Genomic DNA, 26,142 nt, shown 5'->3' with positions numbered 1-26,142 from the left:
TAGTGTGAATAATACATCTTTTTTCTTATTTTCATTTTAGACCTTTCTCTACCTTATATTTTGGAAGTACCTTTTGTAGATACCATATAATTGTATTCTTATGGTTTTGATGTTCTTGTTATCTAATCTGATAATCTTTGTATTTTAGCTGACATATTTAAGCCATTTGCATATAATATAATTATTTTATATTTGGGCTTAAATCTAGCATATTTTAGACTTTATATTTGTTATAGCTATTCAGTGTTTCTTTCTTCTCCTACTCCTTTTGTAATATTTTTTATCATTCCATTTTTTTCTCTACTGATTTCAAATTAGATCATCTGATCCTATTCTTTTTTATAAGATAAAACAATATACTTTAATGTAATAAGGTATGAAAAAATAATCAATATGCTTTCAGATTTCAACTGCAACAAGTTTTTTTTTTTTTAAATCACATGATTGGCTCCTCTGGCCACCAGACCCCATCTTCCAAGAGTCACCTCATTAGCACAGACTCCAGTATGATTGAAAGGGGCTTTTTAAAATTATTATTTCAATAAATATTTGGAGAATAGGTGGTATTTGGTTGCATGAATGAGTTCTTTAGTGGTGATTTCTGAGATTTTGTGCACCCATTACCCGAACAGTATATACTGTGCCAAATTTGTAGTTTTTTTTATCCTTCACCCCCTTCCCACCCTTTCCCTTGAGTCCCCTAAGTCCATTGTATTATTCTTTTTTTTTTTTAAACAGAGATGGGGTTTCACCATGTTGGCCAGGCTGGTGTCGAACTCCTGACCTCAAGTGATCCACCCGCCTCGGCCTCCCAAAGTGCTGGAATTACAGGCATGCACCACCACACCTGGCCTGTGTCATTCTTATGACTTTCCATCCTCATAGTTTAGCTCCCACTTATGAGTGATAACATACAATGTTTGGCTTTCCATTCCTGAGTTACTTCACTTAGAATAATAGTCTTGAATTCCATCCAGGTTGCTGCAAATGCCATTATTCTATTCCTTTTTATGACTGAGTAGTATTCCATGGGATAAATATACCAGAGTTTCTTTATCCACTCGTTGAATGATGGGCATTTAGGCTGTTTCCATATTTTTGTAATTGCGAACTGTGCTACTATACATACGTGTGTGCAAGTATCTTTTTCGTATAATGACTTCTTTTTCTCTGGGTAGATACCCAGTAGTGAGATTGTTGCTGATACTATTCTTTTAATGGTTATCCTAGAAATAAAAACATGAATACCTATTACTAAGCAAGCAATGGACTTGCTGACTGATGTTTACAGAAGCCAATGTTATGGCAGAGGCTTTTGAGAAAAGAAAGACTTTATTGTGAATCAACTGGCAAAAAGACAGAAAACAATGCTCAAATCTCCCCAAAAAAATGCTCAAATCTCCCCAAAAAAATCTCCCCAAGCCAGGGGCTTGGGCAGGTTTTACAGGAAAAGGGTAATTAGGTGTGATCTAATTGGATCTTGCAAAGAGGTAACGCCTGGGGGTGTGATCTAATTGGATGATGCCATGAGGTGATGCCAGGGTACTATCTAATTAGAGCATGAGATGAGGTAATCCCCAGGCTTGCTGCCATATTCAGTCCCTGTTCCTTCATATGAGAGGTTTGGTTCCACCTGTGGTAGACTTTTTAGTTCTGCCCGGATCTGGAGTCATGAATAAGGCACATTTGGTTCATCTGGGCATGCTCAGGTTATGTGCCCTGCATTCTAAGGTTTCACAGCAATTGAAAAACAATTCACCATTTTATTACACAAAGATGAATTAGATTGAGCCAGTTCTATGGTTACATACTTAACAAAATCTAAAGATATCCTCCTCCTAGACAATGAATGGACCTCAGAAAAAATTTAATTTCATTTGCCCTTTTCCTAATTTATATGTTATTGTTGGAGTATTAACTCTGTTTTTTTTCAATCCTATTAAATATTAATGTTCATCTTTTTCCTTTAGGATTATCTAGATACTTCTCACTTTCATTGCTCTTTACTTTTTCTTGCATGTTATGTCTTCCACTGGAATTATTTTCTTTTGCCTGAAGTATACTCTTTTTTTTTTTTTTTTAACAGGATGTCACTCTATCACCCAAGTTGGAGTGTAGTGGCACAATCGTAGCTCATTGCAGCCTCAAACTCCTGGGTTCAAGCAATCCTCCTGCCTCAGCAGCCCAAGTAGCAAGGACTAAAGGCATGCACCACCACACCCAGCTAATTTTTTTTTTAAGAGGCAGGGTGTGATATGGTTTGGCTGTGTTCCCACCCAAATCTCATCTTGAATTGTAGCTCCCACAATTCCCACATGTTGTGGGAGGGACCTGGTGGGAGATAATTGAATCATGGGGGTGGTTTCCCTCATACTGTTATCATGGTAGTGAATAAGTCTCATGAGATCTGATGGTTTTATAAAGAGAACCCCCTTTTGCTTGGGTCTCATTCTCTTTTTTTGTCTGCCACCATGTGAGACATGCCTTTCACCTTCCACCATGATTGTAAGCCCTCCCCAGCCACGTGGAACTGTGAGTCCATTAATCCTCTTTCTTTTGTAAATTGCCCAATCTCAGGTATGCCTATATTAGTCCGTATGAAAACGGACTAATATAGGGTGTCACTATGTTTCCTAGGCTGATCTCAAACTCCTGGCCTCAAGCAAACCTCCTGCCTCAGTCTCTGCAAGTGTTGGGATTACAGACATGAGCCACCATGCCTCATCAAGAAGTATATTCATTAAAATTTCATTTAGTAATGCTCAGCTGACAGTGACATTTATCTGAAAATGCCTTTTTTAAAGGTCATTTTTGAAAAAGGTATTTTTTTGTTGCTTACAGAATATAAGATTGGAAACTATTTTCCTTCAGCAAATTGTCTTCTTGTTTAAATTGTTGCTGTTGAGAAGTCTGCTTTTCACTCTCTGATAATATTTTGAAAATAATTGCTTTAAACATTTTCTCTTGCCTTTAGCTAGCATAATTTTTATTAGTATTTGTTATTTTATCATATTTATTTGAGGCTAGATGAGGACGTCTTTGTACTTAGTGTGCGTCCCATATTTGTGAATTTCTGATTTTTAATTCCAGAAAATTCTCAGATTTCATCTTCTCAAATATTGCCTCTCTCATTCTCTTTCTTTAGAACTCCACTTATTTGTTAGAGCTCACTTTATTCTCCTCACCTTCTTACCCTCCTTCTATATTTTGCATCTCTTTGTGTCTCAATAATACAGGCTAGATGAAACATTCTCCCCTATGTTTCAGTTAACTAATTTTATCTGTGGTAGAATTTAATCTTTTGTTAAACACATCCAACAAATTTTTAAAGTTTAGTCTTTCTATTTTCCATTTATTACTCCATTTGGTTCTTTTTTAGATTTGGTAGGTCACTTTTTATAGGGTTCTATTCCTGCATATATTTTTTTCTTTAAACACAGCAAACCTGATTGTTTTACGATCAATCCATGGCTGACATTTTCACTGCCTGAAGTGCTTACGAGTTTATTTCTGCAAACTGATGTTTCTGCTTTTTCCTTTTTCTCTTTTTGTGCCCATAATGCAGTGAATCTATGTACACTCTTTAAATTGTGTGCTAGGCACTATCCATGAAAATTTATTTGTGGAGACTTTTTGAGGCCTAAGATAAAGATATCTCTACCCAGTGGTAAATGCGTAGTGGCACTATTAGTAAAATGACCACTTTTTTTCTAACTTTTTAAACAATATTATTGGGAAACCACATAAAACAATACTTGCATACTTTAATAATACATATCAGTGCCTTTTAACAAGAGTTTACAAACTGTGTAACCACTGTCAATGTCAACAAGTAGAATTTTCTCCTTAGAAAATTACTGTTTGTCAGTTTACCTATGTAACGAACTGGCACTTGTACCCCTGAACTTCAAATTTTTTAAAAAAAGAAATTTACCTTGTGTCTATTTGCAGTCTGTTTTTCCCACCTTAAACCCTAATGAACCACTAATCTGCTTTCTGTCACTATAAATTAGTTTAGCTTGCTCTAGAATTTGACACAAATTACATTGCACACTTTTTGCTTTTTTATACTCTTGCGTCTGCCTACTCTTATTCAGCATAACATTTCTGAGAATCATCCATGTTGTTGTATGTATCAGCAATTTGTCCTTATATCTCAATAGTAACTCAAGTTATAAATATACCACAATTCATTTATCCAGTCAACAGCTCATGGACATTTGAATTGTTTCCAGATTTTAGTCATTTTCAATAAGGCTACTATTCATGAATAGTCCCATTCACATAAATGAACAGGCATTTACAAATATTTTTGTAAACATATGTTTTTGTTTCTCTTGGGGATGGAGTTCCTGGGTCAGGTGGTAGGCACAGATTAACTTTACAAAATCTACCAAACTGTTTTCCAAGGTGATTATACCAAGATCAGTTTTAAATAAACTCAAGGCTTAAAAAAAATTGGCCATGCAGGAGACAAGAATTTATGCTGAACATCCATGAGAAGTGCTACATGTTACTGTTTCTCAGGAATAAGGTCCCTGCCCTCCACATCACCTCTGATAAACTTCAGAGCAGCCTTTCTTATAGATACCTGGTGAGAGTTCACTTCTGATTACTTTACCCTTATGGTATAGCCTTTTGAACCCATCTTAACGTGGGGAGTGTTTTCTCCCCTTCTTAGGCAGATCATGGAATTTGCTTTCTGTCATCTTCTAAGGCCATCGAAACCAAAGATCAACCTTCCCAGACCAGCAAATGCCTTTAGAACCCAAGAGGCTTCTGTGCTTTGCTTACCTTCCTGAGCTTTCATTTTCCCTTAGATTTTAGCTGGGGAATTTCTTACATCTTGGCAGCTTTTCAATGATTGCAAAAAAAAAAAATCTTTTCTATTTTTCCCAAAATTGTAGGTCTTTTCAGAAGGAGGGTTGGTTCTAATAACTAAGTCCACAACAATTTGTTCTTTTCTTTCACCTTCTCTGTTATATCAGGAAACTGGTCTGTTTTATATTCTACTCATGTTTCTAAATTGTTTAAACTTTTATAGTTGGAATACATTCCACTTATAATCAGCAAAAATAATAAAGATATTACCAATTTAAAAACATAGTAGTGATTATCTTTAAATTTTTTCTATGAGAAGTATTTTCCCTACTTCCTTTAAAAGGGCAAGCTAAGTTTTTTTTTTTTTTTTTTTTGAGATGGAGTCTCACTCTGTCACCCAGGCTGGAGTACAGTGGAACAATCTTGGCTCACTACAACCTCCACCTCCCAGGTTCAAGCGACTCTCCTGCCTCAGCCTCCCAAGTAGCTGGGATTACAGGTGCACACTGCCATACCCGGCTAATATTTTGTATTTTTAGTAGAGACGAGGTTTCACTGTGTAAAAGGGCAAGCTAAGTTTTGTGTTTTAAAATTGGAGGTGGGATGAGGGGAGCGGTGGGCTTCCTAGGGTAGCATGCACAAGATCAGACAAGTTGTTATGGGTTGAATTGTGACCCCTAAAAAGAAATATTGAAGTCTTAACATCCATATCTTAGAATACACCCTCATTTGGAAATAAAGTACTTGCCAATATAATTAATTAAGATAATACTGGAGTATGGTGCACCCTTCCAATATGACCAGTTTCTTATAGGAAAAGAAAACAGAGGCATGGTGGCTCATGCCTGTAATTCCAACACTTTGGGAGGCTGAGGCAGATGGATCACTTGATGCCAGGAGTTTGAGACCAGCCTAGCCAACATGGTAAAACCCCATCTCTACTAAAAATACAAAAATTAGCTGGATGTGATGGCACATCCCTGAAATCTCAGCTACTCAGGAGGCTGAGAATCACTTGAGCCTGGAAAATGTAGTGAGCCAAGATCACACCACTGCACTCCAGCCTGGGTGACAGAGGGAGACTCTGTCTCAAAACAAAACAAAACAAAACAAAACAAAAAAAGAAAGAAAGAAAAGAAAAGAACACAGAGACAGGGCCAGGAGTGGTGGCTTATGCTTGTAATCCTAGAACTTTGAGAGGTCAAAGTGAGAGGATCACTTGAGACAAAGAGATCAAGGCTGCAGTGAGATATGATTGTGCCACTGCACTCCAGCCTGTGTAACAGAAAAAGACCCTGTCTCGAAACAAACAAACAAACAAACAAACAAACAAAAAAAAACAGAGACAAAGACAGAGACACATAGAGATAATACCACAGGATGTCAACAATTGTGAGACATCACCAGAAGCTAGAAGAAAGGCATGAACCAAATTCTCCATTAGAGCCCTCAGAAGGAACCCACCCTGCCTACATCTTGTTTTGGGCTTGTAGCCTCCAGAACTTTAAAAGAACAAACATCTGCCTTTTACAGCCATCTATTTTGTGGTACTTTGTTCCAGTAGCTATAGCTAACTAACATACTAATAGAGGAAAAAATACTGGATTATTCTAAGCAAGAATTCATTCATTTGAAAGAATAAGAGAAAAGTCCTAATCCCAGTGGCAAACTATGCTGATGTATAGTATAAACTGCTGGTGATGAAAATGGGAACAGCACTTTCCACAGTGCTGCAGGAGGAGGTAGGACCTCTGATGGTGTTGACATGTGAGGCTAGGCACCAAACCCCTACTCTAAAGGTTTAGCTGACACAAAGCAGGGAAATAGCCTAAGCAGCAGAGTTGCTGGTTTTCCAATAGTCACCATGGGCTCAGAAAATAAACCTCTTTGTTGCATCCCTGTGGTATTCTTTAACATGTTCTTCTGTCCCCTGCACTTTTTCTAAACTGGAAATACACTAGAATATTCATTTCAGAGATGGCCATAGATAACAATGCACAAGAACACACCAGCAGACAGATTCAGGAGCTGCAGATGATAGTGAAACGGTTTAATAGACTAAGAACAAGAAAGATTTCATCAAGTTTTCTGGATAGCAATAGCATTACCCCAGCCCCCACTTTGATGAAGTTGGGCAAGAGTAACCTAAATAAACAATAAATTTAATCTCTTTTCAACTAGACACATTAGAGCTCAAAGACAGATTTTATCTCATTTGGAAAATAAATAAAAATAACAGTGTTTACACCCAGTTGCTGTTAAGCAAGTTATTACTTTAATCATATTGGTATGTTAGAGAAAAACACAGAATAAAGTCAATAGAGATCCCCCTATTTAGACCTGGAATTTGACATACTTTTTCTCTCCTATTTCTATCTTTTACCAAGATATTTCTCTCCAATTCTCACACTTACATTAGAAGCCAGGTGCTTTCTATGACAATGGGCTTTTTGGGAGCCTTCCCAAGAGACTTGTTTCCATCTCACCTGTCTCAGAAAGTAATGGGACCCAGCAAACTGTAGAGGCCTGGGAGCTCCTGAGAACAAAAGAGAGACAGGTAGTTTGCTTATATCCCAGAAGACCCACAGTGCAGCAGACAGTGGCTGTCACAGCTCAGTGACCTCTCCATTGTGGGGGAAATGGAGAAAAGAGTGCACCATGTACCCAATGTTCTGTCTTTTCAGGGAGCTGCTCAAGGCACAATCATTAGAGAAAAAAAGAGATTAGGAGTGCCTGAAAAGAAAAACAGAAGATCCTTCTAATTGATAATTCACACATGTAACTCCAGGGAAGACACATACATAAAAAAAAGGTTTAAGAGGAGTAGCTAATTGTGAAGGTCTTTCTCTGTACAAATCTAGTCCACAAAGAGTGGGAGAAGCAGCTGTTTTTTCAAATGCATGGATCCCAACACAAAGTTACAAGGCACATAAAGAAACAGGAAACATTGCCCTATCAAAAACAAAACAAAACAAAACAAAACAAAATAAGTCTCCAGGAACTGACCCTATATAAATGAACGTATGTGAATTACCTAATAAAACATTGAAAAGAAACGTAATAAAGATATTTAAAAAATTCAGGATAATGATGCAAGAACAAAATGAGAATGTTAACAAAGAGATAGAAAATATTAAATAGGACCAAACAATAATTTAGTGACTGAAACATACAATTACTGAATTGAAAAATGTACCAGAGGCCAGGCGTGGTGGCTCATGCTTGTAATCACAGCACTTTGAGAGGCCAAGGCAGGCAGATTACTTGAGACCAGGCGTTCAAAACCAGCCTTGCCAACATGGTGAGACCCTGTCTCTACTAAAAATACAAAAATCAGCCAGGCGTGGTGGCATGTGCCTATAATCCCAGCTACTTGGAGGGTGCAGCATGAGAATCACTTGAACCCAAGAGGCAGAGGTTGCAGTGAGCCAAGATCCTGCCACTGCACTGCAGCCTGGGTGACAGAGCAAGACTCTGTCAAAAAGAAAGAAGGAAAGGAAGAAAGGAAGGAAGGACGAAGGAAGGAAGGAAGGAAGGAAAGAAGGGAGGAAGGGAGGGAGGGAGGGAAAGAGAAAGAGAAAGAGAAAGAGAAAGAAAGAAGGATGTACCAGAGAGTTTCAACAGTAGACTTGGTCAAATGGAAGAATTAATTAGAAAATTCAAAAACAGGTCATTTGAAATTACCCAGTGAGAGGAGAGAAAAAAAAGAATGAAAAAGAGTAAATAAAACATAAGGGACGTATAAGCCACTGTCAAGTGGGCCAATGGACACATAATGTAAGTCTCAGAAGAAGAAGGGGGAAGGCAGAGAGAAAGAAACAGAAAGTTTTTTTGAAGAAATAATGGTCTAACACCTCCAAAATCTAGGGAAAGAAATGGACACCCAGATTTGAGAAGTTCAAATATCTCTAACTAGATAAACTGATGAAGTGCAAACCACAACACTTTATGATCAAATTGGCAAAGGTCAAAGACAAAGACAACTTTGAAAGCAGCAAGAGAAGAGCAAGTAATTACATACTAGGGAGCTTCCATAAGACAATCAGCAGATTTCTCAGCAGAAACTTTGTAGGCTGAGGGAATGGAAATTCAAATTCTTAAAAAAAAAAAAAAAAAAAGCTGCCAATCCAGAATGCTATTACCTAGAAAAACTATCCTTCAAAAATGAAGAAATAAAGACTTTTCCAAATAAACAAAATCTAAAGAAGTTTATTACTACTAGACCTGCCTTATAAGTGTATAACTATAAAATATGTTAATGGGTACACATTAAAAATAGAACTCATGATATCAATTACAGTTTACACAAATGTAATGATTTGTGTAACTGATGATGAGGAGTAACAATTACATCAAATACATATTACATCAAATATGTAATCTGTGACAGTAAGTAGAGGGGAAAAGTAAAAGAGCAGTTTTTTATGTGATTAAAATTGAGTTGTTATAAGCTTTAAATAGACTGTTATAACTATAACATGTTTTATGTAAATCCAATGGTAACAACAAGGAAAATATTTGGCTGGGCGTGGTGGCTCATGCCTGTAATCCCAACACTTTGAGAGGCCAAGGTGGGCAGATCACCTGAGGTCGGGAGTTTGAGACCAGCCTGACCAACTGGAGAAACCCTACCTCCACTAAAAAAAAATACAAAATTAGCTGAGTGTGGTGGCACATGCCTGTAATCCCAGCTACTTGGGAGGCTGAGGCAGGAGAATCGCTTGAGCCCAGGAGGCAGATGTTGCGGTGAGCTGAGATCGTGCCATTGCACTCCAGCCTGGGCAACGAGAGCAAAATTCCATCTCAAAAAAAAAAAAAATATATATATATATATATATATATATGACAAATATATATATATATATATATATATATATATATATATGACACACAGAAAATTAGAAATGACTCAAAGTATGTAACTGAGAAGTTCAACAAAACACAAAGGAAAATGGCAAGAGAGGAAAAGTGACAAAAAGCTCCAAGACAGAAAACAATCAACAAAATGGCAATAGTAAGTCCTTCCCTATTAGTAATTCTTTAAAGGTTAAAGGATTAAACTCCCACATCACATGACATAGAGTGGCTAAGTGGATTTTAAGAAAAAAATAAGATTTAACTGTATCATGTCTATGACTCTGTCAATTACATAAAAAGAGACTCACTCTAGATATCAGATATAGTGTCTAAGTGAAAGGATGAAGATATTTCACACAAATGGTAACCAAAAAGAACAGGGTGACCACACCTATATCTGATAAAAGAGCCTATAAGTCAAATTGGTCACAAGAGACAAAGAAGGTCACTATATAATGATAATAGGGTCAGTTTGCCAAGGATATATAACAATAATAAATATATATGGACCCAACACATAAAACAAACATTGACAGAACTGAAGGGAGAAATAGATAGCAACACAATAATAGTAGGAGATTCCAATACCCCACAGTCAAGAATGAATAGACCATTATCCAAACAGAAGATCAATAACAAAACAGGATTTGTGAAACCCTATTATTGATCCATTCTTGTATTGCTTATAAAGAACTACCTGAGACTAAGTAATTTATAAAGAAAAGAGGTTTAATTGACTTACAGTTCTGCACGTTGCACAGGAAGCATGGCTGGGGAGGCCTCAGGAAACTTACAATCATGGCAGAAGGTGAAAAGGAAGGAGGCATGTCTTACATGGATAGAACAGGAAGAAGAGAGCTGGGGGAGGTGCTACACACTTTTAAACAACCAGATCTAGTGAGAACTCACTCACTATCATAAGAATAGCAAGGAGGAAATCTGCTCCCATGATCCAATCATCTCCCACCAGGCCCCATCCTCCAACACTGGGAATCACAGTTCGACATGAGATTTGGGCAGGGAGACTAATCCAAACCATATTATTCCACCCCAGCCCCTCCCAAATCTCATGTCCTTCTTACATTTCAAAACCAATCATGCCTTCCCAACAGTTCCCTCAAAGTCTTAATTCATTCCAGCATTAACTCAAAAGTCCACAGTCCAAAGACTCATCTGAGACAAAGCAAGTTGATTCCACCCATGAGCCTGTAGAATCGAAAACAATTGGTTACTTCCAAAATATAATGGGGGTATAAGCACTGGTTAAATACTCCCATTCCAAAAGGGAGAAATCAGCCAAAACAAAGGGGCTACAGGCCCCATGCAAGTCCAAAACCCAGAAGGGCAGTTGTTAAATCTTAAAGCTCCAAAATATTCTCCTTTGACTCCATGTCTCACATCCAAGAAACACTGATGCCAAAGGTGGTCTCCCAAGGCCTTGGACATCTCTGTCCCAGTGGCTGTGTAGGATGCAGCCCCCTTGGCTGCTTTCATGTGCTGGCATTGAGTGCCTGTGGCTCTTCCAGGTGAATGGTGCATTCTGGGGTCTCGGGGCCAGTGGCCCTCTTCTCACAGCTCCACTAGGCAGTGCCCCATTGGGGACCCTGTATGGTGATTCCAGCCTCACAATTCCCCTCTGCACTGCCCTAGTAGAGGTTTTCCATGATGGCTATGCCCCAAAGAAGACATCTGCCTGGACATCCAGGTGGTTCCATACACCCTCTGAAATCTAGGTGAAAACTCCCAAGCATCAACAATTACCCTCTGGGCACCTGCAGGCTTAACACCACATGGAAGCCACCAAGGCTTATGGTTTGCACCCTCTGGAACAGCAGCCTGAGACATATCTGGGGCCCTTTTAGCCACAACTGGAGCTGGAGCAGCTAGGACACAGGGAGCAGTGTCCCAAGGTTGTGCCTGGCAGCAGGGCCCTGGACCTGGCCTGCAAGACCATTCTTCCTTCCTAGGCCTCTGGGCCTGTTACAGGAGGGGCTGCTGCAAAGGTCTCTGAAATGCCTTCGAGGCACTTTCCCCATTGTCTTGGCTGTTAACATTCAGCTCTTCTTTACTTATGCAAAGTTCTGCAGTCAGCTTGAATTCCTCCCCAGAAAATGGATTTGTCTTTTCTACTACATGGCCAGACTTCAAATTTTCCAAACTGTTACCCTCTGCTCCCCTTTCAAATATAAGTTCCAGTTTCAGGTCATTTGTTTGCTCACAAATATAAGCATAGGCTGCTAGAAGCAGCCAGACCACATCTTGAACATTTTGCTGCTTAGAAATTTCTTCTGCCAGATACCATAAATCATCAATCTCAAGTTCAACATTCCACAGATCTCTAGTGCAGGAGCACAATGCCTCCAACCTCTTTGCTAATGATTAACAATTGACCTTTGCTCCAGTTCCCAATAAGTTCCTCATCTCCATCTGAGACCTCCTCAGCCTGGACCTCGTTAACCATATCACCAACAGCATTTTGGTCACAACAATTTAACAAGTCTCTAGAAAGTTTCAAACTTTCCCTCATCTTCCTGTCTTCTTCTAAGCCATCCAAACTGTTCCAGTCTCTGCCCTTTACCCAGTTCTGAAACTGCTTCCACATTTTCAGGTACCTTTATAGCAATACCCCACTCTTGGTACCAATTTTCTGCATTAGTCCATTCTCACATTGCTATAAAAAATGCCTGAGACTGGGTAATTTATAAAGAAAAGGGGTTTAACTGACTCACAGTTCCACAGGCTGTACATAAAGCATGGCTGGGGAGGCCTCAGGAAACTTACAATCATGGCAGAAGGTGAAAAGAAAGGAGGCACATCTTAATGGCTGGAACAGGAAGAAGAGAAAGTAGGGGGAGGTGCTATACACTTTTAAACAACCAAATCTAGTGAGAACTCACCCACTATCACAAGAACAGCAAGGGGGAATTCTGCCCCTATGATCCAGTCACCTCCCATTAGGCCCCCTCATCCAACATTGGAATTACAATTCAACATGAGATTTTGGCAGGGACACAACTCCAAATGATATCACCTACAGACCAAATGAACCTAAGAAACATGTACTGTATTATCCATCCAGCTGGTATAGAATATACATTTTTCTCAAGTGCACATAAAACATCATCCAGGATAAAACATATGTTAGGTTAAAAAATAAATCTTAGCAAATTTATGATGATTGAAATCATACCAAGTATCTTTTCTGGCCACAATGTGATAAAACTAGAAAGCAGTAACAATAGAAAAACTGCAAAATTCACAAATATTTAGAAATTAAACAACACACTCTTGAACTACCTGTGGGTCCAAAAGAAATCAGAAGGTAAATTAGGAAATATCTTGAGACAAATGAAAATAGAAACACAATATACCAAAACTCATGGGATGCAGTAAAAGCAGTACTAAGAAGAAAGTTTATAGTGTAAACTTTATGTATAAAAATATACATATATCTCAAATTAGTAATCTAACCTCAAGGAACTAGAAAAAGAACAAACTAAGTCCAAAGTTACAGAAGGAAAAAAACAATAAGATTAGAGCAGAAATAAATGAAATAGAGAATAGAAAAACAGTAAAAAAAAAAAAAATAAATGTAAAGATTCTTTCTTGAAGAGATCAATAAAATTGACAAACCTTTAGTTATATTAAGAAAAAATCCAGGGGCCAGGCATGGTGGCTGACACTTGTAATCCCTGCACTTTGGGAGGCCGAGGTGGGTGGATCACCTGAGGTCAGGAGTTTGAGACCAGCCTGACCAACATGGCGAAACCTCATCTCTACTAAAAATACAAAATTAGTCAGGCATGGTAGTGTGCAGCTGTAATCCCAGCTATTTGGGAGGCTGAGGCAGGAGAATCACTTGAACCCTGGAGATGGAAGTTCCAGTGAGCCAAGATCACACCACTGCACTCCAGCCTGGGTGACAAAGTGAGACTCCGTCTCAAAAAAAAAAAAAAAAAAAAAAAAAGAAAAAGAAAAAGAAAAAAAGGAAAAATGCAGAAGACTCAAATAAAATCAGAAATGAAAGAGGAAACATTAAAAAAGATAACACAGAAATAAAAAGTATTACAGAACACTAGTATGAACAATTATACATCAACACATCGGTAACCTAGAATAAACGAATAAATTCCTAGAAACATACAACCTACCAAGTCCGAACCATGATAAATAGAAAATCTGAACAGACCTAAAACTAGTAAAATGATAGAATCACAATCAAACACCTCCCAACAATGAAGAGCCCATGACCAGATAGCTTCACTAGTTAATTCCATCAAAATTTAAATAATTAATGCCAAATCCTTCTTAAACTCTTCCAAAAAAAGTGAAGAGAAGGGAATATTTTCAAACTCATTTTATGAAGCCAACATTTCCCCGATACCAAAGGCAGACAAAGAGGCTACAAGAAAAAAAATTCAAGACCAATCTGAATAGAGATGCAAAAATTGTCACCTAGCAAACCAAATTTAGCAGTACATTAATGGCACTATATACCATAGCAAAGTGAAATTTTTCCTGGAATGAAAGGACAGTTCAACATACAAAAATCAATCATAATGACATACCACATTAACATAACAAAGAATAAAAATGACATGGTGATTTCCATAGATGCAGAAAGAGCATTTGAGAATGTTCAACACTCTTTCATGACAAAAACACTCAACAAACTAGGAATAGAAGGAAATTACTTTCCAATAACAAAGGAAATGAAAAGTCCATAGCTAATATCATACTCGATAGCTAAAAGCTAAAAGCTTTTTCTCAAGATCAGGTAAAAGGCAAGGATACCTACTGTCACTACTTTTATTCAACATAGTTCTAGAAGTCGTAGCTAGAGCAATTAGGCAAGATAAAAAATAAAAGTCATCCAAATCTGAAAGGAAGAAGTCACATTATCTTTGTTCACAGATGTCATAATGTTATAAGTAGAAAACCAAAACAATGCCACACAAAAACTGTTAGAATTGAAAAATTAACTCAGCAAAGTTTCAGGATAAAACTACCTAAATCCAAGTTGTGGGATTAAGATACAAAAATCAGTCACATTTCTATACACTACAAAAAATCAAAGCAAACATAAATTAAGAAAACAATCTCATTTACAATGGCATTCAAAAGAGTAAAATACTAAAGAATAAGTTCAAACAAGGAGGTGAAGACTTATGCCCTGAAAACTATAGACTATTGATTAAAAAAATTAAAGAAGGCATAAATAAATGAAAAGACACCATATGTACATGGAATGTACTTAACATTGTTAAGATGTCCACATTACCCAAAGTGACCTACAGATTCAAAGTAATCCTTATAAAAATACCAGTCACATTTTTTGGCAGAAGTAGAAAAAGAATCCTAAAATGTATATGGAACCATAAAATTTAGACAAACAATAGCTGAACCCAAATAGACAAAGCAATCTTGAGAAACAACAAAGCTGGAGGCCTTACACTTTCTGACTTCAAAACATGTAAAGCTACATTAATCAAAACAGTATGATACTGTGAAACAGACCAATGGAACCGAATAGAGAGCCCAAAATTAACCATCTATATACATTCAACAAATTTTTGACAAGAGCACCAAGAAGACAAAATGAAGAAAAGAGAGTCTCTTCAATAAGTGGTGTTGGGATAACCAAATATCCACGTGCAAAAGAATGAAATTGGACCCTTTTCTTGCACCACACATCTGGTTTAGGAGGTAAACATCGTTAGGGAGATGTGATTGTGCTTACTACAAACTGCTTGGTATGTTTGACTTTGGAGCCATGTGAATTTCCTACCTTATTGTAAAACAAAAGATAATTTTTTAAAAGACATCTACAAATTGAGAATAAAACATAACAAATTAACTTAATTGTATACTTAGTTGGAGGCATAAACATAGAGGCTAACTATTCCAAGTGAGTTTAAAACACAGTGATATCATTGCAGCACAAAAGAGATGAAAAACAAAAAGATCAAAACTATTTTCAGTAATCATATTGTTGGTTGCATTTAGTACTGTTATTCTGAAACTATTGCATGTTGTGTGGGTTAAAGGAAATAAACAATTATGTAATACGCTAATTGTATTTACCAGTAACCTTAAGAATTGTGGTTCATATCTGGGAAAAAGGAGATATAGATATAAACCAGAAAATAAGATATTGCATGGATTTATTGGCCAATATCATTTCTTCAGACTAAGGAACACACTGTACAGCCTGTAATGTCCAGCAATAGGCAGAGAGATATTCTCCTTAGAGTAATGGTTTGATAGGGAAGTAGAACAGGCAATTAAAACATTGATTTAAAACCACTATTTAAAAGCATAAAGATTGGATTACACACCTTCATGACTGTGTGCTCACACTCAACACTAGTGGAACTAAAGGATCTAAAATTCTCCATTTTTCTGGTGCATCTGAGGAAGAGGGATTGGAGAGTATGCAGGTATGACTATGCGATTCTTGCCAAGGGGGGAATATGCTGGTATAATGATCCTACTTTTTTCCTTTTCTCCATGTATTACCTCAACTTTTATCTCCCTACCTGATGCAGTGGTCACAGGACCAGGGCTACGACTACAAGTGCTGGAAGTAGGTATAATTCCTAAGAAATCTTATGCTAGAATTCCTAAGGGCCTGATAGAAGTGGGTTGTACTTCACTCCATCTAGCATAATTGGGGTTAGCAGTAAATGCAACTATATGGCCTGGTGGTAAAAACAGTGTTAGCAACAGAAGGCACAGAAATTCTAGACAAATGGGGTAGGTCTCTGGCAAAACCCCACCTTCGAGACAAAAAGCCTGAAACCCACGGCCCAAAGTGAGAACTTCCATTTCTGTTAGCCCACTCTCTCCTGATTGGTTCTGAGTAATGTCTTTTTACCAATTGAATGTTGCCTTTTCCAAAACTACCTACAGCCCCCTTGATCCCATCCTGTGCCTATAAAGAACCCATACTCAGCTGACAGAGAGAAGAAGTGGCTGGACATCAGAAGAAGCAGCTGGACACTGGGGAGAGGCAACTTCGACTTCAGAGATGGTGGCTGGATGAGGCAACTTAACTTTGGAAGAGAGAGGTAGAGAGGCAGCTTGACTTCAGGGGACAGCGACCTGCCCTTCCCATCCTCTTTCCAGCTCCCCTCTCCTCTGAGAGCCACTTTCATTACTCAATAAAATGCTCCACATTCACCATCCTTCAATTCGTCTGCGGGACCTTATTCCTCTTGGGCACCAGATAAGAATTTGGGACTCACCAGGTGCAGGTACCCAAAAAGGCTGTCACACTGGCCCTTTGCCCTTGCTGGTGGAGGGCAGCCACCCCACAAAATGAGGCAAAGGGCCCACTGAGCTGATAACACACTGCTGTCTTCAGACAATGGAGCTAAGAGAGCATTGTAACACGCCCTCTGGGGCCTTGGGGTCGCAGCCACCTCCAGCTAGATGCTGCCATGGGGCCTGCACAGAGTTCACTCCTGCTGGCACTAAAGCAGCTGGTTTCTGCACTTGCTCACCTGCATGCGTCCTCCCATGAGGGGTGAAGCACAGCAGACCCAAGCAAGTGGAATTTGCTTTTGCTGGCACCACAGAAGCCAGTCAGTTCCTGTGCCCGTTTGCTCACAGGCTCCCTCCCACAAGGGGTTGAATGGGGTAGGCTAAGTAAACGAGACACCCTGCCATTAATCCAACAAAGGGGTCATGAAAATATCCTGCATCATCATCCACAGTTTTGCACCTGTTTCACCTTATCCTATGTCAATGGGAATGAACTGAAGGGAAGGAACTTGCTGCTAGACTAGTATTGTTGCCTGCAGTGTAGACAAGCACAGTAGCTGAACCTAATGTCTCTTCCAGAGGTGGAAAAGTTTGGGTATAAATGAAGAGAAGGAAGAATAGTAGCTGAGGGTAAAAGAATGAACAAATGGATTACAAATTGAGAGAAACCTAGTATTACATTAATACCTTGAAAGATGACATCCTGGACATCCTGTCTTAGCTCAATTATGTCAGCTGCCTGAAAGGGTGAAGCATGTGTTGGCCAAGACTCCTCCTGCTTTTGGAAGCTGACAAGATTAGATGGAAACCTGTAAATCTGAGTGGCTTCACCCTGGAAGACAGTCACACGAGATGATGGACTGGAGTAATTATTAATGACTGAATGGGATGCTAGCAATATGGCAGTATCTTTTCAATTGTATGTCCTTTTGATATAAGGTATTTGGGTTCAAAGATCAGGGTGGATTGTGATATTCTAAAATATATATTTGGCCTTCATCTTGGTTTTCTGGCATACAACTCCTAAAATCCTTGGAATCCTCAAGGTAATTCCTCTTTTAGTATGCTAATGAGTTCACTGATGCCTGGCAGCCCCCAGGTAGCTTCAGAATGACGGGCTGGTCCCCAGAAAGATCAAGGCAGGATTAGAGGGTTTCTACTTTCAGCACCCCCTATCTTTCAGAGGGGAGAGGGACTAAAGGTTGAGTTGATCACCAATGGCCAATGATTTACTCAATCATGCCTGCATAATGAAGCCTCCATAAAAACCCAAAAGGACTGGCTTCAGGGAGCTTCCTTCTGGACACCTAAAAACGTGGAGGTTCCTGGAGAGTGATGCACTCAAGGAAGGCATGGAAGCTCCATGCCCCTTCCCATAATTCACCCTATACATCTCTTCATCTGTATCCTTTGCAATATCCTTCATGATAAACCAGTAAACATGTTTCCCTGAGTTCTGTGAGCTGCCCTACCAAACTAAGCGAACCTAAAGAGGAAGTCATAGGATGCTGATTTATAGCCAGTTGGTCAGAAGCACAGGTTAAACAAACAAACAAACAAACAAAAACCTGGGTTTGCAACTGGCATTGGAAGTAAGGGAGACCACCCCTCATATTGTCTTATGCCTAATTTCTGCCTCCAAAGAAAGAAGTAAAAACTAAAAGGCAGAAATGAAATCCACAAGCAGACAGCCCGGCACCACACCCTGTGTCTGGTAGTTAAAGATCAACCCCTGACTTAATCGGTTATGTTATCTATAGATTACAGACACTGTATAGAAAAGCATTGTGAAAATACCTGTCCTGTTCTGTCCTTTTCTAATTACCGGTGCATGCAGCCCCCAGTCACATACCCCCTGCTTGCTCAATCGATCATGACCCTCTCACGAGGACCCCCTTAAAGTTGTGAGCCCTTAAAAGGGACAGGAATTGCTCATGTGGGGAGCTTGGTTGTTGGACACGTGAGTCTTGCTGAAGCTCCCAGCCGAATAAAGCCTTTCCTTCTTTAACTCGGTGTCTGAGGGGTTTTGTCTGTGGCTTGTCCTGCTACATTTTTTGGTTCCCTGACCGGGAAGCAAGGTGATTAACGGACGGTCGAGGCAGTCCCTTAGGTGGCTTAGGCCTGCCCTGTGGAGCATCCCTGCAGGGGACTCCGGCCAGCTTGAGTGACACAGATCCTGAGAGCACTCCTGGGTATGCAATTGCCCTAGTGGAATGCCTCACCAGAGCAGTGCATGGCAGGCCCCCGTGGAGGATCAACGCAGTGGCTGAACACCGGGAAGGAACTGGCACTTGGAGTCCGGACATCTGAAACTTGGTAAGACTGGTCTTTGGAACTTGCCCATTCCATTTGAGTGGAAGCATGGCCTGATCACCCACGACGTGCCTGTACCAGCACTTTGGTTTTTGTTTTTGACTTGACTTGGATTGCTTGATACTTTGGTTTTGGTTTTGACCTGGCTTGGATTTCCTGATACTCTGATTTTGGTTTTGATTCTGGTTTGGTGTAAACTGTAAAAGTGTGTGTGTGCCCTTTTTACCTGTTCTTTGTGGTGTGCGTGTGGTGTGAGCATGGTGTTTTGTCTCAAAGAAGCATGGGTCAGGCACAAAGTAAGCCCACCCCACTAGGAAATATGTTCAGAAATTTCAAGAAAGGATTTAAGGGAGACTATGGAGTACTATGACACCAGGAAAACTTAAAACTTTGTGTAAGATAGACTGGCCAGCATTAGAGGTGGGTTGGCCATCAGAAGGAAGCCTGGACAGGTCCCTTGTTTCAAAGGTATGGCACAAAGTAACCTGTAAGCCAAGCCACCCAGACCAGTTCCCATATATAGACACTTGGTTATAGCTGGTTTTAGACCCACCCTCCACACACACACACAGTGGTTGAGAGAACAGCAACATAGGTGGTTGGCAGAGGCAAGGAAAGACCAGCAGAGAGAGAGAGAGAGAGAGAGAGAGAAAGAGAGAGGCAGAGAGAGAAACAGACAGATGCAAAAGTAAAGTCAAAGAGAAAAAGAGACAGAAAATCAAAGAGAGAAAGAAAGAAAGACAGAGATATGCAAGCAGTTAAGAAAAAAAACAGTGTATACTATTCCTTTAAAAGCCAAGGTAAATTAAGAACCTATAATTGAAGGTATTCTCCTTACCCTATAACACTCCAATACCACTTTGTTGTCAGTGTAAACAAGGGCGTATCCCGAAAGCACTGAGGCCTTCCTATCAAAAGTCCTTAACCCAGTAACCTGCAGATGGCCCAAATGCATTCAATCTGTAGCAGCAACTGCTTTGCTAACAGAAAAAAGTAAAAAAATAACTTTTAGAGGAAACCTCATTGTGAGCACACCTCACCAGTTCAGAAGTATCCTAACGAAAAAAAAAAAAAAGGATGATTTAACATTAACCACTGAAAATTCCCTTAACCCAGCAGGTTTCCTAATAGGGGATCTAAATCTAAATTACCATACAAAGGACCAACCAGACCTAGGAGGAACTCCCTTCAGGACAGGAGGATCGATGGTTCCTCCCAGGTAATTGAAGGGAAAAAAAAAATGCCATCTATACCAATTCTAAGTTAATTTGGACAAAACAAGGCCTTATTAATGGCAAAGGATAATTGAAGTCCCAAACTTACAAGGGTTTCAACAGAAGTAAAGTTTGCTAAAAGTTAACAGTGTAATATGTATTATAGTAACTTCTAATCTTGTGGCCTTAGACAGTCTAGTCCACAGACATAAAAGAAGTTTGCTTTGGAAAAGAATGGTTATCATCTCGAAAAACAAAAGGGAAAAAAAGGGGGGGGCAGAATTTATGTAAAAAGAGTGTTATATGGTAAATTCTTGTCCTGAATTAACTGGTTGTTTAAAGACAGAAATGTTTGTAATAAGTCAGAATGTTGAGGCATGTCGAAGAATTGTCTACAAAAGTCATGAAAGAGAAAAATGTTATAAAAAAAGAATTTATGCAAGAAATGTTGTATAATTTAAAAGTTACTAGGCCTCCTGAATGTAAAACTATTAAAAAAAAAAGTTTATGTGCAAGGTGTATAAGGAAAGTAAAATATACCTTTGATAAAAGGATTATAAGGAGGCATAAGAATGCAAATTTTTATCTACACTAAAAGGTTAAAAAATTTTTGTTTTGAAGGTTTAAGCAAGTTTTAAAATGTTAATTATATAAAAAAATTCTGTGTGTAAACATATTAGCTAAAGTTAAACGAGTATCATCCAGTTTTTCTGTGAACTGGACATTAAAGTGAAAACACAATGGGTTTTTCTTAAAGCACTAACCTGCTCTTTAACAGAGATTATAAAAGGTTAAAAAGAATCTATAAAAATCTTACCTTATGGTCTGACATTAAAAATTGAATAAGTATGTATACAAAGTTTTATTAAAACTAAGTTTAACATTAAATATAAAGGTGAAATTTAGCTTATCTGGTATAAAAAAATCATACAAGAAGCATTATTAAATATAAAATGGTGTTTGGCTTTCTTTGTCTAAAAACTAATAAAAATAGATGCTAAAGGAAATTTCTCAGCAAGAAGGCACCAAAGACCAAAGTCCACTGTTGATGTCCCCACATTTAAAAGAAAAAGTCAGTTTCTTAGAAATTATATACTTGGTTTATCTTCCACTTTCCTTTCCCTCAAAACTAAAAGTCTTTTAGTACAAGTACCACCCCTAGAATTTCCAGTAAACCAGCACCAGCCTGAAGATCACCTTCCTATCAAAGGGTGGAAAGAAGAAAAACTCAAGCCAGCCTGGGAAGGACCCTATCTTGTGCTGCTACCACCAAGACTGCTGTTCGTACAGCGGAAAAGGGATGGACTCATCACACCAGAGTCAAAGCGCCACCCCCTCCAGAGTCGTGGGCCACAGTCCCAGGGGAAAACCCTGCCAAACTAACACTAAGAAAAATTTAACTCTTTCGTCATTCTATTACTTTCTTCTTTCCTCGCTCTATTGCTGACCATCTGGTTATTAACATAAGCAAGTCGATTTTGCCTCAAACTATTGCATTTAATGCTTGCCTTGTTATACCCTGTGGGGACTTGCCAAGTGAAAGACAGCTCTCTACTTCAGAAAACTACCTCTTTCCTTCCTGACTCTCCTCAGACTGGGCATTAGTAAATTAGGACCACTTAATCCAGGGAAATTTTGATAAAGACTCCAGTGTCAACCAGGAGTGTTGCTCCCCAATGTAGAGCTTTTATGCCGTAGTTGGTCCAACATTCTGTGGACCACTAAAGAGAAAGGATGGACTGCCCCAACCAATTTTTGTAATTTCCCAAAATCACACATTCATTTTACTAGACGATCATGGAAGTTAAAGACTTAAAACAAACTTTGGCAATTAAGACAGCATACCAAGATGCAAATGCCTCGTTGGAATGGATCAAATATTCCACCTGCACGTTAAACAAAAGCAATTGTTATGCTTGTGCACATGGCAGGCCAGAGGCCCAGATTGTCCCCTTTCCACTAAGGTGGTCCTCCAGTCGACCAGGCATGGGCTGCATGGTAGCTCTTTTCCAGGATTCTACAGCCTGGAGTAATAAGTCGTGCCAAGCTCTCTTGCTATATCCCAAAGTCCAGCACCCTGTGGGTCAGCCCCTGAGGGCCATCCAGCCTCCATTTCCCAACACTAAGTTCACTTCGTGTCTCTCATGACAGGGAGGAAACTTAGCATCCCTTGGAGACCTGAAAGGATGCGGTGAGCTTAAAAATTTTCAAGAGCTTATCAATCAGTCAGCCCTTGTTCATCCCCGAGCAGATGTGTGGTGGTATTGTGGTGGATCTTTACTGGGCACTCTGCCGAATAACTGGAGTGGCTCTTGTACTTTAGTCCAATTGGCTATCCCTTTCACCCTGGCATTTTATCAACCAGAGGGAGGAAAATAAGACATTGTAAAGCGAGAGGAGCCCCTTATGGGTCTTTCGACTCTCACATCCATTTAGACACAATTGGAGTCCCATGGAGAATACCAGATCAATTTAAAGCTTGAAATCAAATAGCTGCAGGATTTGAGTCAATATTTTGGTAGGTGACACTTAATAAAAATGTAAATTGGATAAACTACATCTATTACAACCAACAGCAATGAGCTTTTCATGAGTTAAAAGAAATCATGTCGGCCCCAGCCTTGGGGCTACCTGACCTGATAAAACCTTTTATACCCTATGTGTCAGAAAGAGAAAAAATGGCAGTTGGAGTTTTAACCCAGACTATAGGTCCCTGGCTAAGGCCAGTGGCCTATCTCTCAAAACAACTAAATGGAATTTCCAAAGCCTGGCCCCCATGTCTAAGGGCCCTGGCAGCAATGGCCCTGTTAGCGCAAGAAGCAGATAAACTAACCCTTGGGTAAAACCTGAATATAAAGACCCCCCATGCTGTGGTAACTTTAATGATTACCAAAGGACATCATTGTTAACAAATGCCAGATTAACCAAGTACCAAAGCTTGCTATGTGAAAATCCCCACATAATCATTGAAGTTTGCAACACCCTAAACCCTGCCACCTTGCTCCCGGTATCAGAGAGCCCAGTTGAACATAACTATGTAGAGTTGTTGGACTCAGTTTATTTTAGTGGGCCCAACCTCCGAAACCATCCTTGAACATCAGTAGACTGTGAGCTGTACATGGACAGAAGCAGCTTCGCCAGCCCCTGCAAAGTGACTCTGAAGAAGATGACAAGCCCTGCTCCAGTCATACCCAGAAGTTGATGCATGGCCGAAGCATGAGAAAACTCATCGCGGGACTCATTTTCCTTAAAATTTGGACTTGTACAGTAAGGACTTTAAATGACCTTCCTCAGACTGAGCACTGTTCCCAGTGTATACATCAAGTCACTGAGGTAGGACAAAAAGTTGCTACAGTCCTATTATTTTATGATTATTACAAGTGTACTGGGACTCTAAAAAGAAACATATTTGTATAATGCTATTCTATGCAAGGTATGTAGCCCAGGAAATCACCAACCTGATGTGTGTTATGACCCATCTGAGCCTCCAATGACCACAGTTTTTGAAATAAGATTAAGGACTGAGGAATGGTGGGGGCTCATAAATCATACGAGTAAAGTGTTAGCCAAAACAAAAGTAAAAGGGGTGCCCAAACAAGTCACCTTGAAGTTTGATGCCTGTGCTGTCATTAATAGTAATAAGTTAGGAATAGGATGTAGTTCTCTTAATTAGGAAAGAGGCTATATGGCAGAAAATAATTACATTTTTCATGAATTAGGACTGTGTGGAAATGAATGTAGATACTAGTCTTGTGTCATTTAGGCTACTTGGATAAATAATAAAAAGGATCCTGTCCACCTTCAGAAAGGGAAAAGTGGCCTTTCCTGTACCAGTGGTCAGTGTAAACCCTTAGAACTAGTAATAACCAACCCCTTTGATCCTCGCTGGAAAAAAGGGGAGCATGTAACCCTAGAAATCGATGAGGCTGGACTGGATCCTCGAGTAAATATCGTGGTTTGAGGAGAAGTTTATAAATGCTCTCCTGAGCCAGTATTTCACAACTTCTATGATAAACTGAATGTACCAGTACCAGAAATCCCAGGAAAAACAAGAAATTTGTCTTTGCAATTAGTTGAGCATGTGGCCCAGTCTCTCAATGTCACTTCATGTTATGTATGTAGAGGAACTGTAATAGGAGATCAATGGCCACGGGAAGCCCGAGAATTAGTACCTACAGACCCAGTTCCTGATTAATTCCCGGCTCAAAAGAATCATGCTGATAACTTCTGGGTCCTAAAAGCCTCAATCATTGACAATACTGTATAGCAAGAGTGGGGAAGGACTTCACCTTTCCTGTGGGAAGACTCAGCTGCCTTGGGCAAAAACTGTATAATACTACTACAAAAACAGCCACCTGCTGGAGTTCAAACCACACAAAGAAAAATCCATTTAGTAAATTCCCAAAGTTGCAAACCGTGTGAACCCACTTGGAGTCCCACCGGGACTGGACAGCCCCCACTGGATTATACTGGATATGCGGGCATAAAGCTTACATCAAATTACCTGACTAGTGGGCAGGTAGTTGTGTGATTGGCACTATTAAACCATCTTTATTCCTACTGCCCATAAAGACAGGTGAACTCCTGGCCTTCCCTGTCTGTGCTTCCTGCAAAAAGAGAAGCATAGCTATAGAAAATTAAAAAGATGATGAATGGCCTCCTGAGAGAATCATACAATATTATAGGCCTGGTACTTGGGCACAAGACAGCTCATGGGGATACCCGAACCCCATTTACATGCTCACCAAATCATACCGTTACAAGCAGTCTTAGAAATAATTACTAATAAGACCGGCAGAGCCTTGACTATTCTGGCCTGGAAAGAAACTCAGATGATAAATGCTATCTATCAAAATAGATTGGCTCTCAACTACTTCCTAGCAGCTGAAGGAGGGGTCTGTAGAAAATTTAACCTTACTAATTGCTGTCTACACATAGATGATCAAGGGCAAGTAGTTGAAGACATAGTTATTAGAAATATGACAAAACTGGCACATGTGCCCGTGCAAGTGTGGCATGGATTTGATCCTGGGGCCATGTTTGGAAAATGGTTCCCAGTCCTAAAAATATTTAAAACTCTTATAATAGGAGTTATAACAGTAATAGAAACCTGCTTAATGCTCCCTTGTTTGCTACCTGTACTTCTTCAAATGATAAAAAGCTTCATTGCTACCTTAGTTCACCAAAATGCTTCAGCACAAATGTACTATATGAATCACTATCGCTCTGTCTTGCAAGAAGGCATAGGTAGTGAGAATGAAAGTGAGAACTCCCACTATTGAGTGAAATTCTCAAAGGGGTGGAATAAGGGAGGAGAGCATATTGTTTATGGCCAATTTCTGCCTCCAAAGAAAGAAGAAGTAAAAACTAACAGGCAGAAATGAAATCCACAAGCAGACAGCCTGGTGCCACACCCTGGGCCTGGCCGTTAAAGATCAACCCCTGACCTAATCGATTATATTATCTATAGATTACAGACATTGTATAGAAAAGCACTGTGAAAATCCCTGTCCTGTTCTGTGCTATTCTAATTACCGGTGCATGCAGCCCCCAGTCATGTACCCCCTGCTTGCTCAATCAATCACGACACTCTCACATGGACCCCCTTAAAGTTGTGAGCCCTTAAAAGGGACAGGAATTGCTCACTTGGGGAGCTCGGTTGTTGGAGATG

At 39.4% G+C, this 26,142-nt stretch overlaps 1 long non-coding RNA gene across 1 annotated transcript in view; it reads right to left on the bottom strand.

Moving 5' to 3' along the window:
- The window catches only part of GMDS-DT (GMDS divergent transcript), a 167,839-nt gene that overhangs the window by 76,952 nt on the left and 64,745 nt on the right, over positions 1-26,142 (bottom strand). Inside the window, exon 4 of the long non-coding RNA NR_046229.1 lies at positions 7,308-7,357. This is a non-coding gene — a long non-coding RNA (GMDS divergent transcript). The remainder of the gene's footprint in view (positions 1-7,307; positions 7,358-26,142) is intronic.

This window comes from Homo sapiens, chromosome 6 (genome assembly GCF_000001405.40).
Source record: "Homo sapiens chromosome 6, GRCh38.p14 Primary Assembly".
Lineage (NCBI taxonomy): Eukaryota > Metazoa > Chordata > Mammalia > Primates > Hominidae > Homo > Homo sapiens.
This window is presented reverse-complemented; position numbering and strand designations above follow the sequence as displayed.